The sequence below is a fragment of the Homo sapiens genome, chromosome 10 (genome assembly GCF_000001405.40).
Source record: "Homo sapiens chromosome 10, GRCh38.p14 Primary Assembly".
NCBI classification, from domain to species: domain Eukaryota; kingdom Metazoa; phylum Chordata; class Mammalia; order Primates; family Hominidae; genus Homo; species Homo sapiens.
The window spans coordinates 14,315,044-14,331,907 of record NC_000010.11 but is presented as its reverse complement, the minus strand read 5'-3'; the positions used below and the strand labels follow the sequence as shown (position 1 = coordinate 14,331,907).

Here is a 16,864-nt window from a genome sequence, read left to right as displayed (position 1 = left end):
TTGAATATATTTTAGTACTTACTCTGTGCTAAGCACTGTGATGAGCAAATACTTTTTATTTTTAAATTTTTTTAGAGACAGAGTCTTGCTCTGTCCCCCAGGCTGGATTGCAGGAGTGCAGTCATAGCTCCCTTCAGCCTTAAACTCCTGGACTGAACTGATCCTCCCACCTCAGCCTCCCAAGTAGCTGAGACTCTAGGCACACACTACCATGCTTGGCTAATTCTTTTATTTCTATTTTTCTTTTTTTTTTTTTTTTTTGTAGAGATGAAGTCTTGCTATGTTGCCTAGGCTCACCCTGAATTTTGGGTCTCAAGCTATCTTCCTGCCTCAACCCCCAGAAGTGCTGGGAATGCAGGTGTGAGCTCCCATACCTGGCCCAAATCAATAGTTTTAAAAGTATAAGTAATAAAGGAACAGTAGCTATGCTCGTGCACAGGAACATGAAAGGTCATTAATTTCTTCCCCCTAGTTTCTTATTTCGAAAACTGTTCTCTATGTTTCTACATTTCACACTGTCTAGTTAATTTTCAGGATTTTTTGGAGCCATTACAGGAGGTGAGTAAAGGAAGAAATCAGAAAAGGACATACTAGAAGTATCAGGAATAACCATTTTTAGTTGAATACATGGACTCCAGAAGAAGATACAAGCTTGACAGTGCTCATGAAAAGATATCTAATTTTCTTAAGTCTTTGACTCTGGAAAGCCCTTTGAGCTACCCATTATATAACAAGATTCGGCAGGTTTTTTCTTTCTCCCTTCATTGACATCTTCCGGGGAAAATGCTGCATGATATGATTTTCAAGGCTAACTTGCCTTTTCCTGTTAAGCAGTGTCCCTTGTGACAAATTCACCTCCTATGCCTCCCTGAACTAGGGAGGCTCCTTCAAAATTCCTAACAGGCAGCCCTGTGGAGAGATGGGAGGGAAGGGATGGGAGGGAGGAAGGGCGGGAGGAAGGGAGGGAGAGAGAGGTAGAGTGTGTCTGTATGCGGCGTACATGTGGTACAGCCAGGGAGATCAGAACGCTCACAGAACAGGCAGTGCAATTCCATGTTCCTCTTAAGTATGTTAGCCCTACCGGGAGCTGAGCTGGCCAGTCTACTTGGAGAGGAAAAGTAGATCTGGGGAAGGTGGAAGGGTCAGTTCCTAAGTGACTTCCTCCTCGGGGATGGTAAGGGCATTTGCTGATCTCCAGTGACTGCCTGGTGCCTCATGGTCAGACTCGGCTGTCTCACTCCCAGATATCTGATTTTGCAAAAAGGGACACACCTATCTGCAGCAAAGAAGACACTGACCAGATTGCGAGCGGTATGTTGTGACATTCAGCATGTTTATGCAGCAGAATTGCTGAGAGATGCAGAGAGAGGGGGTGGCTCGGGCTGCTTGATTTATCTGCAATAGGGAATGTTTTATTTTAATTGTCAGTTAAAGGAAGAATTGCTGCCAGGGCGAAGGTAGCAGTTAAACATTCCGTGTTCTAAGCTTTCACGTTTGTGTTTGATGCGGTCTCCCTGTCTGTGCCGCTTTGCGAAGCTAGGGAGGGCTCACTTTTAAATAACCTGCAGCTTCCTATTTTCCTTCTTCTTTTTTTTTTTTTCCTCCCTAAGCACAGTTCCCACCCTGTCTTCCCTGACCTCCTCCCCACCCTGTGTGAAAGGTGGCCTATCTTCCCCTTGAGCCTTTTGCTCCCTAAGTCTGGATTTTGGCTGCTTTTTCTGCAGGTGCTTTTGGATGCTCTGTAGCCACCCGGGGCCCAGGAGGACTGACTCGGCAGCAGGATTCGTGCATGGGAATCGGAGACCATGGCAGTGCAGCTGGTGCCCGACTCAGCTCTCGGCCTGCTGATGGTGAGTGTTCAGACAGGAGGTGGGGCCCGGGCAGCGTCCACTCCAGCCTCCCCTGCACCGTGGGCTGCTGCTGCCGCTGCAGTGGCTGCAGACATGTTCAACATTGCTCCGCTTTATCCCGCAGGCTCTTTGGAAATGCTTTCTTGGGTCAGAGTATCAGCATGACAAAGCACTTGCAGGGAAAAGAAGCTGTAGATTTGCCATTTCAGAAACTTGTTGCTGAATGCTATTTTGAGAGCTGTGCTTGCAAACAGGTGCTAAGAGCCCCTCGAAATAGATTGCTAGGATGCCTCCTCCAGCTCCCAGCATCCTTTCCCCCTTGTCTTTTGCATCTAAATTGAGCTGATTGTGTTTGTTTTTGGATATCTTCTCAGGGCAACTGTGGAATCTGTTGCCCATGGGGTGACAGAATGGGGTCTTCTTTCTAGGCGCCCATATATCTGCTCATACTTTCCTGTAGAGGTGGTGGAGGAGGTTCACTGTGGCTTCAGTGATGCTTGGGCTACTGAGTTGGGAGCAGCTTGTTTCCTATCTACCATTGATGGCCAACCTTGGCAGGACTTGTCCAGGCATTTATCTGTGTGTGAGCAGCTGACTCACCTTATGCCCCTCTGGAATTTTCACCATATTAAGAAAGCCCTAGCTCTTACCATATTAAAGCACACAAGGACATGGGCACTGTCTTGTTCCAACCCAATTGGCTTTTGGCTTGACACTAGGTTCAGCAGTGGCTTTTGCCATGGTTTTGCATCTCTCTCCTTTCCCAGGGTTCCCACACACCACGGTAATACTGGCTGTTGTCGGAAGTAGCCTGCATCAGGCTTGGCATGGAAATGTTTCCAGCATTTACACAGGAGATTTTATGAACCAAGCATAAGTGCTTCTGTGTATATTGATTTGTGTCTTCGGAATGAGGAGGGGAAATGCAACTTTGCAAGGCCTGATGAGTTTATGGAGGTGACTTGGAAGAGCCGTCAGTGGGAAGCCTGCCCCCTGGGTGGCAAGCCAGGTCATGTTAAAAGGAACAGATATCTTGGTTCTTCGTTGCTCAAAATTCCACTGGGTCCACAGATTTAGTTGAATTGCCTGAAATCTATCTCATGGGCCTCTGCTGACTTCTCATTTCACTGGGGGAGTAGGACTAGAAGAAATGAAATTGTCAGTTTCCAGAGAAATTACCCATTACCTGACTTCTTTCCCTTACTAATTCTATCGTCTGATGATACTTTATCCTCCATCGTCTACCTGTGGTCAAATAAACTGGATAGGAATTTTCATTCCATCACTGAGTATTCGTGATGATGGCTGGCACTAAAATGCATTATCTATGGGGTCTAGGAGACTTCTGGGAACCTGGGAGCCTGGGTTATATGCTCTGAAATACAGGCACACATATGCACACACACACACACACACACACACACACACACATGCATATGTATATTATATTATCTAGTACACTAACAGAAATAAATCCTGCATCGTGTTAATATAGAGGAGAAAAGTTTTCTTGAAAAATATCTTTAGGGAGAGTTAGACCCGCTTGTCTCAGCCTCCTACTTGGACCTTTCTTCTATACTTAGAAGAAAGATGTGTATCTGCTTTATTCCAAGCCCCTAAGCATGAATCCTTGGTATCCAAATTAAATGAATAGCATCCATTTCTGCTGTTATACACCCCCCCCCCCCACCCACACACACACACAGGCTCTTCTGGTCCTGGGTCTTCCACATATTATGGCTGCTGTCCTGGTAGTGTCTACATCTCAGACTTCACCTTCCATTTGTCAGTGGCCTCTGCCCTTAGATCTGTCCCTGGCACTCTCCTCCTGCCCGGAAAAAAGGATCGTGTTCTCCTCTCTTGGAAACCAGGGGAAAGAGCTCTTGACACCCTGATGGACCGTTTGATTAAAGAACCCTGGAGTACCATGTGTAATCAAAGTCTGTATACATTTTCTGGTTCATGTTTAGTTCAGGGAAATTTTCCCCTATGGACTTTGGTGCTATTTTTTTTCCTTTTTAAGGGTAAACCCCAAAGTAATTGCTTCCCTGACATCTTGCATGATGCATCTTAAAATTTATAAGCAAGCCGAGGAGGAAAGAAAGGAGGAAAAGAGGCCATTTAGCGGAGTTGCTTTGGCTGTGAGTTCAGGAAGGAAGCTGTAAACATTATTATTTATGAGCTCATTCATCAGCCAATCAGTTGTCAGTATTTATCGCGTGTCTGCTCACTGAGGAAAGTAGCCTGGCATAACAGCAAGAGCCAGAGCTCATAAACACACAGTCTGTGGGAGGCTGATACCAGGTTGGTGGATTGCAGTTCTGATTTTGTGCTATGGAGTCATCGGGGCTAAGGGGTAGGTGGGGAGATGATCTGGCCACACCCCTTGCTTTTGGATAAGGAGACACCCAGAGGTTACATTCAGCTTAGATGCTAAATGCTTCAGGGCAGAGCATGTTTAATTGGTTACAGAAGCGGCCACAGAGTCTGGAGGGTTGGACAGCCCTGTGCTCCATTCTAGCCTTGCCACTCATTGAGTGATCCTGGGAATGTCCCTTCCTTTCTCTGCCTTGGTGATGCCATTTGCTAACTGAGAGTGCTCTCTGATGTCTAGGTTCCCTTCCATTCTGTTAAACACAATTTAAGATCTCTAAGAAACAGTGTACAGATGAAGTTCCAGGATAGCCAATTCGAGGGCTTTATTTAGCGTTATGTCTCTATTTCCAACCTTGCACATGAGCAGTATTGCTATGAAAATGGTGGAGTGTGTTCCCACTCTGGCTTTTATGCTAGGGCAGATATGTTTCATATTATTAGCTGACACGGATGATCATTAGTGTTCATTCATACTCTGCCATCAGGAGTCTACCCCACAGGAACCTAAGTTGGTCCATTGGACAAAAGCCAATGACTTTTGAACAGTGTCTCAGAGGCCTTTTCAAGCTAGGGCTGGGTTGCGGTCAGCTGGGAGGGGTCCCAGGTGGTAAGCATGCCTGGACCATCTTGAGGTGGGAGGACCTCACTGATTCTTTCAACGGACAGCTCACAGAGGGCAGTGATGCCTCTCCACACAGGACAGAGCCACTCATATGACCACGGAAGGGGGGACTTGGAGAGAAGACACATTCTGGTGGTGGAGATGGCCTTTTAGGCTGTTGAAAAGCTGCCTCTCCCATCTTTGCAAGAATCTCAGGCAGCGAAAGAAGATACTGCTGTGTTCACCAACCCGTGAGGAGGCTTCAGATTGATGTGACTAATTGTAGAGCGGGAAGCTCTTGGCTACGTGTCATTTGTTGAGGGCGTGTGAGTTCAGGGAAAGCTGCAAGGGCTGGAACATGCTAGAGCCGAGGATTAGTTTATCTTTAGAGCCAGGATAAGGATGAATAACCAAGGGGCTTCAAGGGTGTTATGATGCCATTTCGGTTCTTAGATTATAAAGGCTCACCTTCAGGACAGCTAGATTAAAATAGTTTTTAATGGAAATTAACTGGATAATAAATAATGCAAATTAAGCTTTTCTATAAATGAAGTGTCTTTAAATACATTATCTCATTTAATTCCATCCATGACCCTATTTTTAAGACCAAAAAAAATCTGATAATTAGAATTTGGGAAACTGTCAATGGTCACATAAGTGAAACTGATGAAGCAAGTTCTCAAAATCTCGGTCCTCTGAGTCCCAAGCCAGTGCTTTCTCTGACAGCATATCAAAGCTCAACAATTTGACTTCTAGGACCTTCTAACACTTTGGATTCGCTCCTGAAGTTAGCTCCCCTCTGAACCAGTCAGCATTTTCTGTGTTTCCAGGTGAGGAATCCTGTCTTTCTGTTAATCATCTGTTCTTTTCCATATTGAAGTGTAAAATAAAAAAGGGATACCACAAGTCTGGCTCAAGATGTCTGGCTTGACTCTAGCAAGAAAAAATATTTTTTTATATCGATGAAATAGCTGCCATTTTTTCAAGGTTCTATTCTCTCAGACTCTGTTTCTAGGAAATTACTGAGAGTCATATTTTATAACATAAAAAATTAAATGTATAAAAACTCAATTCACAAGTCAGAGAAGTTAGTGGGTGATTAACCACAATGAATGAAGAATGTCAATTGGATTATCCTGAAGTTTCTTTCCATTCTAAATATTTGATTTCAGATTTCTGGGCTTCTTTTGAATAGACCAGCTCCCTTGTCTATGTTTAATAGATTTCAATGGGTAACCTGCTGTTCTATGAGTTTATCTCCCTCATTTCATTTCTTTATAAATTCTTTTCTAAGCCATTTTCCTCCTTTGGACAATTTCCTTTTTAACTAACCAACAAATATTTGCTGAGTATCTACTTTGTGCAAGAAGAGTACAAGGCAGTGACTGGCTTTAGCATACTTACAGTCTAATTGTCAAGACAGGTTGGAGATACGCAGGAACTGTAACAATGAGAAATTTACAGGACGTCTTCAGAGAATCACATAAGAACTATAACAAAACAGTGCCTAACTCATCACCAAGTGAGCCCTAGGGGGCGCTGGTTGTCAGAGTGGATGAACTTGTTCTTGAAGTTCAAGCAAGATGTTGAGTGATGGATGAGTTAAGAGAGCAGATTTGAGGTGAGGGGAGTGGTTGAATACAACAAAGTCTGGATCTTGTTTGGGAGACGGGGAGTAGACTGGTTTGGGCAGATTTCCTGTAGGTGACAAAGGGTTGCAAGATCAGAAAGGCCAGTTGGAGATGTGATCAAGGTCCTAGTTCTATTACTATAATCTAATCCTTCTCTACATTTGACCTGTGAGAGGTCTAATCTGATAGATTCAGATTAGATCCTGAAAAGAGATTCAGAATTTGTAATAAGCCTATGGCTTTTCCGCAGATCCCAACTGTCAAAAAGCATAGAATAAAATTGAGTTTTGTCTTAAGGACTCTTGCTCTTACATTAATAATCTCTATGTTTTTCAAAGTGCGTTTGCAGATGTTGTCCCACCGGATGTCCTCAACACTCCAGGCAGGTTAGGCAGGACATCTTCCTATTATATGGTGAAGTTGGGGTCCAGAGAAGTCAAAGGGCTTGCCCAAGATGACTCAGATAATTTGCGATAAAATTTAGATACAGGCCAGGTGCGGTGGCTCATGCCTGTAATCCCAGCACTTTGGGAAGCTGAGGCAGGCAGATCACCTGAGGTCAGGTGTTTGAGACTAGCTTGGCCAACATGGTGAAACCCCATCTCTACTAAAAATACAAAAATTAGCAAGGCGTGGTGGGGTGCACCTGTAGTCCCACCTGCTTGGGAGGCTGAGGCAGGAGAATCACTTGAACCAAGGAGGCAGAGGTTGCCGTGAGCCGAGATCGGCGCACGCCACTGCACTCCAGCTTGGGTGACAGAGCGGGACTCCATCTCTAAATAAATAAATAAATAAATAGCATTAAGATAGTACTCAAGTTTTCATGATGGTTCATGCATATGTTTGAAAAAAAGTGATATTGACAACTTTTATGGAAATTTGGAGAATAATAATTACATAGTAATACAGTGAAGCCACCTAAACCACTGTATACAGAATGGGGCCATCCAGGCATGGGGCCCAGGGGAGAGGTCCTAGATATTTGGGTCTAAGGGCGAAACTAATATTTAGTATCATCTATCTTTCTGGTTTATTCATAAGTAAGATAATTGTCAAAAAGTCCCTGAGAAATGGTCATGTCATTGTTACCTCCAAGTCAGTGGCAAAAACCCTTCTTAAGCTTAAATTATTGCACCCAAGGTAAAATTTCCCAATGGGTATCTTTGAGATCTTGCTATTAATATTTTTAGTTACTATTTAGTGTACAAATTTATCTGTTTCAAATGGTGAAATTTGAAATCCATAACTGTAAAACTAACTCAGATGATTTTTTGCTAAATATATTTTTATTTCATTTTCTGCTGGACCTGTTTCTGTTAGTCTAATCGACAGAGACTAACTCAAACTGCTAGCATTGGCAGAAAGGGAAACTTACTGACTGATGTGACCAGGGAGTCTCAGGAATAAAAGAGCTCCAGGAGAAGCTGGATCAAGGACTTTGCATGGTGGCATCTGAACCCTGTTTCTCTGGCTCTGCCATGTCTTGGCTCTGCTTTTCTTTGTGTGGACTTCATTTTCTGGCAGATTCTTCTCCCAGCAGCTCTAGGGTTACTTGTTCTTAGAGTTAGTGAATGTAGGTAAATGAGCAGGACTCTCTTTCATGGTCATCTCTTACAAGCTGTCTTTGGATCTCTTGAATAACAGGCTCTTCGCGGGCCAATTACTGGGTACAGAGATGGAGATTTCTGACTAATCAGGCTGGCTAATGTGTCTAGACCTACTGAAAGGAAGGAAGGAAGTAATCAACTGGCTGATAACTCTGTCTGAATTACATGGGGTGGGAAAAGCAGGTTCCAAAAAAGGAAGAGCTGTATTATCAGGAGGGAGGATGCTATTTTATCAGAAGGGGATGCTAGGAAGGGCAAAAAGGATAGATACCCATTACAGTTGTCTGTGCATCTTGTATACCATGATAGGTAATCTGCAAAACTAGTCAGGGAGGTAAAGCATCAGTGAATCCCAAATCATGGCTTCAATTTTCCTCAAAATAAATATAAATGGAGAAGCACAATTGCCTAAATATTTTATGCTAGTTTGAACAAATCTCACCGTCTGTAAAATAAGATAATAATAGCTACCATGTAAGATTTGGGATAATTCAACCAGATATGCATGTAAAGTTCGTAGTGCTATTTTTGGCCCAAAGCAAATAGCACAGTATATACTAGTAGTCCCTTCCTTTGTCTTAAAAAGATATGAAATGATTGTCTACCTGAATTCATCTCATGCAACTCTTACATGAGACAAAATCCATCTAAGAAACAAGTTGCCCAGTTCTGTCTTTCTCCATCCCAGTCTCTGGACAATGAGTGACCACCTCTGGACAATCAGCTAACGCTTTTAGAAAAACAGATGTTCCTGTGGCCATGTGAGCCATTCTAGTTATGAGCAAATTTAAATTTGCATTCCTATCTTGAATAACTCACAAAATTTTCTTACCCTTTGAAGGGAGATGACTAAAATATGGGCTGCAATATGTTCTCTCTGGCAAAGGCAAAATGCGTGCATTTTACACATGATGGGGCAGCTATGAGTGCATCTCTGCTAAAAATTAATTGTACAGCAGCTTTGCAAAGTATAATAGTGGTTTGGAGAACATACATTACTGGTGCAAGTAGCAGTTTCTCATTGGCTTCTATGCCAGAATATGAAGCTTAATGGAACATACGGTATTTAGCCTGGTAGTAATCAAAGGTCCCGGAAACATGCTCTACCAAGACCATGTGGTTCGTATCAAGTGGGGAGAGTGAATTCCAATGTCAAGGAAACACTGGCCTGCAACTTCTGTTGCATTGTGATGAGTGCTTTTTATAATCCTGGATATTGAAATCTTAGCCTCACAGTCTGGACCTGAAGAAGCAATTTCCTGAATGGTAGATCCAATTCATCTTTCCAAGTACATCATGCACACCCATGGTTTTCCCTGTCATCTGTACGCTAATGGCTCCCAAATCATGTCTTTCACTCAGGCCTTGCCCCAAGCTCCTAGTAACTGCAAGTCCAAATGCTTTATCAGATTTATTCTCCTGCTTGTTCCACAGGTATGTGAAACTCAGAACACCTCAGCCCAGCTCAAATGTAGAATTTATGGTCTTCTCCCCAACCTTAGTTGGTGGTGGTGCCTTTGTGCTTGTTATCCTGGGATTAGCCTTGGAGTCCTTGCTTTCTGTCATCTACCTGGTTCAGCTAGTCATGGGCCATGCTGCTTCTGCTGCCTCAGTTTCTCTTGAATCTGGCCCCTCCTATGTACTCACGTCCCCTGCCTTAGTCCAGGCCTCTACTCTCTCATACCTAGTGTAGTAGTTCATTCTTGCATTGCTATAAAGAAGTACCTGAGAATGGGTAATTTATAAAGAAAAGAGGTTTAATTGACTCACAGTTTCGCAGGCTGTATAGGAAGCCTGGCTGGAGAAGCCTCAGGAAACTTACAATCATGGTGGAAGACGAAGAGGAAGGAGGCACATCTTGCATGGTGGGAGCAGGAGGAAGAGGGAGCAAAGGGGGAAGTGCTACACACTTTGAAACAACCAGCTCTCATGAGAACTCACTCACTGTCACAAGAACAGCAAGGGAGAAGTCCGCCCCCATGATACAATCACCTCCCACCAGGCCCCTTCCCCAAAACTGGGGATTCCAATTCAGACTTGAGATTTGGGCAGGGACACAGATGCAAACCATATCACCTGGGCTACCTGCAGGGCCTCTTACCTGGTCTTCCTGTTTCTAGTCTCTTATCACTGTTGCCTGTCTTCTGTACTTTTTCTAGAGTGTTAGTTATGAAATAAAGGTCTAATTTCTCTGCCTAAAATTCTCCAGTTGTACCTGATTTTACACAGGATAAGGCTCTAGCTTTTTAATATACCACATTACTCACTTACAGATCTGGTCTCTGCCTACCTGCCCAGCCTCATGTCCCAGGGTCCCTTCCTCCACCCCTCAAAATTCATACTCTCACAGTGTTGGACATTTCCTTCCCTGACAAATGATATGCAGGATTAAGCCTGTGCACTTCTGAATGTACACTTTCTATTCTTTGGAGTGCTATTCTACCTTCCTCTCTTTCTCCTTTATTTCATATATACATATATGAATTATATATATATTCATTCATATATATAATTCATATATATGTAAAATTTTACTTATCACTAGATGATATTTGACTTTTGTATCTGTTTTTCTTAATAGATTGTGAGTGCCTCATAAGTATAGAGTATTTCTCTATACTTTATTCATTTGTTTCATTCATTCATCCATTCATTTAACCCATCACATACTCTCTTCTGGACACTGTTTTAATAGGAGGGATACAGTGGTGAACCAGACAGAAAGTCTTTCTGTTGTCATCAAGCTTACACTCTCCTGGGAAAAGACAAAAATAAAAATAAAAATAACACATTGAAAATAAATAGAAGAACTATGAGTGCCCTATAGAGAATTAAAAATGGTTATTTGGAGACAGTGCTTGGAAGACAGCTTTAGAGGAGTGACTGAGGACGCCTTCTTAGAAGAGGTTGCATTTGAACTGAAGGGTGAGCTGCAAGAAGCAGGCAAGGGTGAAAAGTCATGGATGGGGCATTCCAACCTGGGCCATGGCCCCGGGGTGGGAAGGAGTTCAGCAGACTCCAGCTTCATGCACTCTTCTCGATATATTTGGTAATGAAGGTATTGATTGGCTGCTTCCTGGCAGCTTAGCACACACCAGGCTTTGGGAGGAATTTTGGTGAGTATAGTGCATGGCCCTTGCCTGGGAACTTATATCTCATTAGAGAAATAAGAAGTACTGAAAATGCTTAGGTCACACTGCATGTTGAGAAAGGGCCCTACATGGAAGGTATGGTATTTACTAACAAGGCATTTGAAGAAATCAGAGGCAGGGGCAGGGACAGGTGTGTGAGATCTAGAACGCTAGTCCACATGGTTTGTAGAAAATGGCGTTAAGCTATTTTGAAAAGTGTATATCATGTTGGCTGGGGAAGAGAGGGAAGGAGTAGCTTCCCAGTGGAGGGAACAAAATCATCAGGAAATTCAGGAGGAAATGTTAAACCGCCAAGGGTGGGGTTGGGGAGGGCAAATGTGGGAGTATGAAAGGAGGGATTGATATTTTGCTAAAGGGTCTGTGTCATGGAAGAGATGGACTGCTAGCTAAAGAATAAGGCAAGACATTGCAAATGCTCTTGGGGGCATCTGGATTGGAGCTGCAGGCACTGAAGCCTCTCCAGGTTCTTGGATTGGACTGACTTAATGGGCAGGCATGGGAAGTGGGGTGTTTAATCTAGTGGTGGAAGGCAGGGTGTGCTGGGGACATTGGAGGGAGAGGGCCAGTTTAGAGGCAATTGCATGAATTTGGGCGGGAGGTAAAGAGGTGGCACGGAGCTGACAGTAAGAAAAGAGGAAGGGGAATGAATTCTGAAACATTCTGAAGGGAGAGCCATCAGGATTGGATGGGAGATGGATGACAGGGGACACGCACAGGGAGGAGCCAGCTGGGACAACTCTGTGACTCCTGGAGGTGCAGGGACCATGACACATACAAGCCACTCTGGAGTGGGAAATACCATTTGAATAAGAATAGCTTTCTATTGACTGAGGACTACAGAGGTGAAGGTGCTGAGGAAATAATGAGATTTGCCAGTAGAGGTGGAGGGTGGGCAGTTGGAGGTAAAGGCTGGGTTAGGTCCTGGATTAGATTTGGTATGGGAGGCAGATCTGGCAGTGGCACTGAAGCTCAGAAATCCTGAAGAGATTATAGAGAGGAAATAACAGGAGGCCAAGCCTGAGAGAGGTGCATTCTAATGGAGTGTAATCACCTTGTGATGCAAGACAGTGTTTGTACCCAATCAATGTTCCCTCGACTTTGGAATTAATTTTCTTCACATTGAATGTGCCGCATGGCCCCATTGAAGAAGTCTTGGTGATTTTTGCTATTAATAGATGCAGGTTAAATGCAGTTCCATTAGATGACGGCACTTCCTCAAAGATTTCTGTAGGCATGGCCGAACTAGGAACATATGCATGCAAACTATTACTAAACCTCACAAGGTGGCTGTATGTATTTATCATGTGTGTGTGTGTGTGTGTGAGAGAGAGAGAGAGAGAGGAGAGAGAGATATTCAGTTACTACTGCTGTAAAACAAACTATCCCACACTTTGTAATTTTTGTACAAAATTCAGTATTTTGTTACACTCATAAATGTTATGGGTCAGGAGTTCCAACAGAGTACAGTGGGAATGGCTTGTCTCTGTTCCACACTGGAGCTTCAGCTGGGAAGAGCTGATGGCTGGGGTGATTCAACAACTGGTCTTGGAATCTTCTGGAGATAAGTCTTCACTCATATGTATGGGTAGATGCTATTGTTAGCTAGACCACAGCTGGTTCTGTGAACCATAACGTTAGAGTCTCCCCACATGATGTGGGCCACCTCAAAATATGGCTGCTTCAAGGTAGGTGGATTTGCAGAGTGACCCAGGCTCCAAAACTGAGTATCTGAGCTAGCCAGGCAGAGCCATATGATCGCTCATAACCTAGCCTCAGAAGTCATGCAGACTTGCTCCTGTTGCATTTCCTTGGTTACAAACAAGTCATTAAGGCTAGATCCAAGGTGAGAGGATATAGACTGCCTCTTGATGAAGGACATGTCGATGTGGTTCAGGACATGTTTCAAGCCACCACAGGGTATGTTCATTCTATGTAACTTGATTCTATGTTCCTTGATGCTCTTTTCTGAATTACTCACAAACTGTCTATGGGACTTTACTCAGAGGAAACATTGTATAAATATTGATTGAATGAGTGATAGGTTGATATCTGAAGGAGTCATTTTTTTTTTTTTTTTTGCATACTAGCAAAGAGCTGCCTTTTGAGTTTTCCGATTTTCATCCAAACTCTGAACATCTGGGGCTAACATGTGCTTAGTGCATGTCACACCTTCAAAGAACACTCAGAGGATGTGTAAATCCTGGTCAGCCTGCTCTGTGACCTCTGAGGTCCCAAATTCAGTTCTTATTGATGATTGGGAGCTGAAAAGGCAATAATGTTTTTTTCCTTTACATGCTTGGCCTTGGGACTAATAACTTGTTTTGTGTCTTTATTGCCCATGTGTCAAGGTAAAAAAAAAAAGGTGGGGGGGGATATAGCTTGGTATCAGGACTGCAATGCTTTCTTTTCTCATGAGGGAGTGTGAATGTAATTGAGCCATAATGAACATGGCTGAGGTCATTTCCTAGGGATTAATGAACAGGAGACTATGTTTGGGGCCTGAGGCTGAGTCTTTGGTCATTAACCTAGTTGGTCATTAATATTGTTCAGGAATGCTTTACGTTAGGCCATTACAACTAGTGCCATATGCTGCTACAATGGGGAAACATGAACATTACCTGTATCAACAACTATTTGTTTTCCTTCTATTCTCTACAATTACTGAGTGAGGTAGCCTCTTTAATACACATCCCATGGGCATGAAGCACCAACGGCAGGGAAAATTTGAAGCGGAGGTCCTTTGAGTGTACATCCTTTTATATACTTTGAATTTTCTAGCAAGAAAATGCATTAAAACTCAGACTCTGTATCTAGACAGGACAGTTAGTTATTTGGCCTGTTCAGAGTAAAATCTGTGACTATTTTTTGGACTCCTTTGGCCTTCTTTTTTCCCAAGAAGAAAGAACTGGCTTTCTTCCTTTTTTTTTTTTTTTTCCGTCTCTTGTCTTGTCTTCTCCTCTCCTTTCTCCTTCCCTCTCCCCTCCTCTTCCCTCCCTTCCTGTTCCCTTCCTATTCTCTTCTCTTCTCTTTCCATTCCTTCTCTTTGTAAAAAGATTTTAAGAGGGTCTCAGTCAGAGATATTGTGGTATGTGCTGAGGATATGTGGATATGTGTGTAAATACCACCTAGTCCCTGCTCTCAAGAAGTTTAGAGTTTAGTTGGAAAGGCCAATAAACAAACAGTTGCAACACAGTGAGATAAATGTGATGGCAGAGAAATAGTCAAAATGCTATAAAGCACAGGAACACCGTGCAGAGACTTCTAAAGTAGAGCTGAAGGTTCTGGAGGATTATAGGTGGGTGAGGTAAGTGGTAGTGGACAGTAGTTCCAGGTACAGGGAACAGCATACATGAATGCAATGGGAGAGTCACACGTCCCAGCAACTATGTGACATTTGGGTATGAGGAAGGCAAAAAGGAATAGAGAAAGAGAGGTCAAGATCCTGGCTGGGGGCAGACACGAAATGTCTTCAGAATAAATGGCAAGGAGTTTGAACTTTATCTTGAAGTCTACAAATAGTCATCAATGATTTTAAGTGGGGAAGGACATGATCAGAGTGCAGATGTAGAAATATCATGCTGGAAATGATATGGAGAATAAATTGAAAGAAGAGGTGAATCTGAGGCAAAGGAATCTGAACAAGGAGATATTAAAGTCATACAATTGAGCGACAAAGTGGACTTGAACTAATGCCAGGAAAAGCGAGAATGGGAGAGAGTGTGGATTCTTGAGTTTCACATGGGAACTTCCAGTGGATGGTGCATATTGACTCTCATTAAGAACTAAATTAAAAGCTGCTTAAACTGGCTTTAAAACAGGACACTTCTTTAGTTCACATATTAAGTCCAGGATGGAGTTGTTCCTAGGCTGTGGCTCTGGTTCCACCCATCCCCTGTTACCACTAGATCTTTTGGCTCTGCTCTTATCTGTAAGCTTTGTCTTCAGCCTGATATTCCTCATGTGGTCACCAGATTGCTGCCTGCAGCAACTGTTCAATATGCTTCCTTGTTCAAGCTTGGGGGAAAGAAGAAACATCTCTCCTCAAAATGGGAATGATAAATTCTTTCTTTCCTTCTGAGAGGACCAACTCAGGTCACTTTCCCTCCCCAGGAAAAAGACTCAAGCACTGATTGGCTTAAGCCTGGTTTCTTCTTCTTCTTCTTCTTTTTTTTTTTTTTTTTTGCTGCTATCACAAAATACTAGAGACTGGGAAATTTATAATGAACATAAATCTATTTTTTCACAGTTCCACTGGACAGAGAAATCCAAGATCGAGGAATGGGCATCTGGGGAGGCCCTTCTTGCTACATCATCCCACAGCAAAGGCAGAGGGGCAAGAAAGAGCAAGAGGGGGCTGAACTCACCCTTTTATAACAGCACAATTCCACCCATGAAGGTGGAATCTTTATGACCTAATCCTCTCTTGAAAACTCTACCTCTTAATATTGTTACAATGACAATTAAATGTTAACATGAGTTTTGGAGGGAATAAATATTCAAACCACAACACCTGGGATCCTCAACTGGACACTAGCCAAGAAGCATGGAATCACTATGCTTGGATCAGATATATCAATATCTACTTCTAAAGCTGGGAATGGGGTAGATTCCCATGGTCTCATACAAGGGAAAAAGAAGGTGGATGTGGTTGCTGCATAGGCAATCAACAGTGTCTATGACTAGAGCACAGAGCAGGGCACCCAACCCACCTGGTAGAATTGGAGATCAGTATGTGGACTATAACTTTCTTGAGAACAGGGACTATATGTCATCCACCATTGATTCTTTAGCTCCTAGCTCAGTGTCTGGCACATAGTAAGTGTTCAGTGGACATCTGTCACATGAGTAAGGGCATGTGAGAGGAGCTAGTATCTGAACTTGAAGGTTCAGACCAGGTGATGCAATAAGGGAATAGTTTAAGGCAGAATTTAAAGTATCAGGAAGAGTAGAGGATCATATGGTTGCATGATACCTTTTGAAAAGTCATGGAATTTAGGGGTTCTGAAGCAAAAATGGAGGAAAAATCAGAAGATGAAGCACAATACTCTGCTGAGGAGCTTGATCCATATCTTGTAAACAATGGAAAGCATTAGAAAAAACTTTAGGCAAGAGAACAAAATAATCAGATTTGCATTTTGACTGGATCACTCTGCCAGTGATATGTAGAAAATTGCTGTAGGAACACAGGTAAGAAATGATTAGGTGAAATCAGCAGTTGATTAGCTTTTACTCGCATACATGAGGCAGAGGGAGGAGGCAAGGATGACCTCAGATCTTTATGTTGGGTGAGGAAGAAGGTGGAGATCACAGAAGAAATAGGTTTCTAAGGACTAATGATATCTTTTTTTTGGACACATTCATTTCAAGGATCCATGAGACATTCTAGTGGAGGTATGTAGCTGTGGTTAGAGGTATGTATGTGAAGCTTGAGAAGATTATGGGCTGGACATACATATTCAGGGTCATCAATATTCGGGTGATGGTTAGAAAGGATGAAAACCACCTGGGGAGAATAGACAGAGAAGAGCCGGGATCCATGGATGAGGCATTGAAAGGGGAGGGAGTGGAAGGAGAGTCCGTAAAAAAGGCAAAGAAAGGAACAGTCAGAAAGGTAACTAGAATTCCAAGAGAATATAATTTGTCGTAT

At 43.0% G+C, this 16,864-nt stretch overlaps 1 protein-coding gene across 2 annotated transcripts in view, besides 1 other annotated feature; it reads left to right on the top strand.

Annotated features, from left to right (window-relative positions):
* FRMD4A (FERM domain containing 4A) overlaps positions 984-16,864 on the top strand; it is a 687,219-nt gene continuing 671,338 nt past the window's right edge. For both annotated transcript variants that reach the window (NR_134578.2, NM_018027.5), the window contains exons 1-2: positions 984-1,311; positions 1,725-1,850. Coding sequence is in view for 1 of the 2 variants with exons in the window: in NM_018027.5 (NP_060497.3) it covers positions 1,806-1,850 (45 nt within the window). In the remaining variant the exon portion in view is untranslated. The remainder of the gene's footprint in view (positions 1,312-1,724; positions 1,851-16,864) is intronic.
* Positions 12,849-13,018: an enhancer, noted in NCBI's record as "experimental_11398 CRE fragment used in MPRA reporter constructs". NCBI's record gives its function as "activates a minimal promoter by MPRAs in K562 erythroleukemia cells, with activity observed for both the introgressed and non-introgressed 10:14360974 variant alleles {active_cell/tissue: K562}" and the evidence as "EXISTENCE:reporter gene assay evidence [ECO:0000049][PMID:34662402]".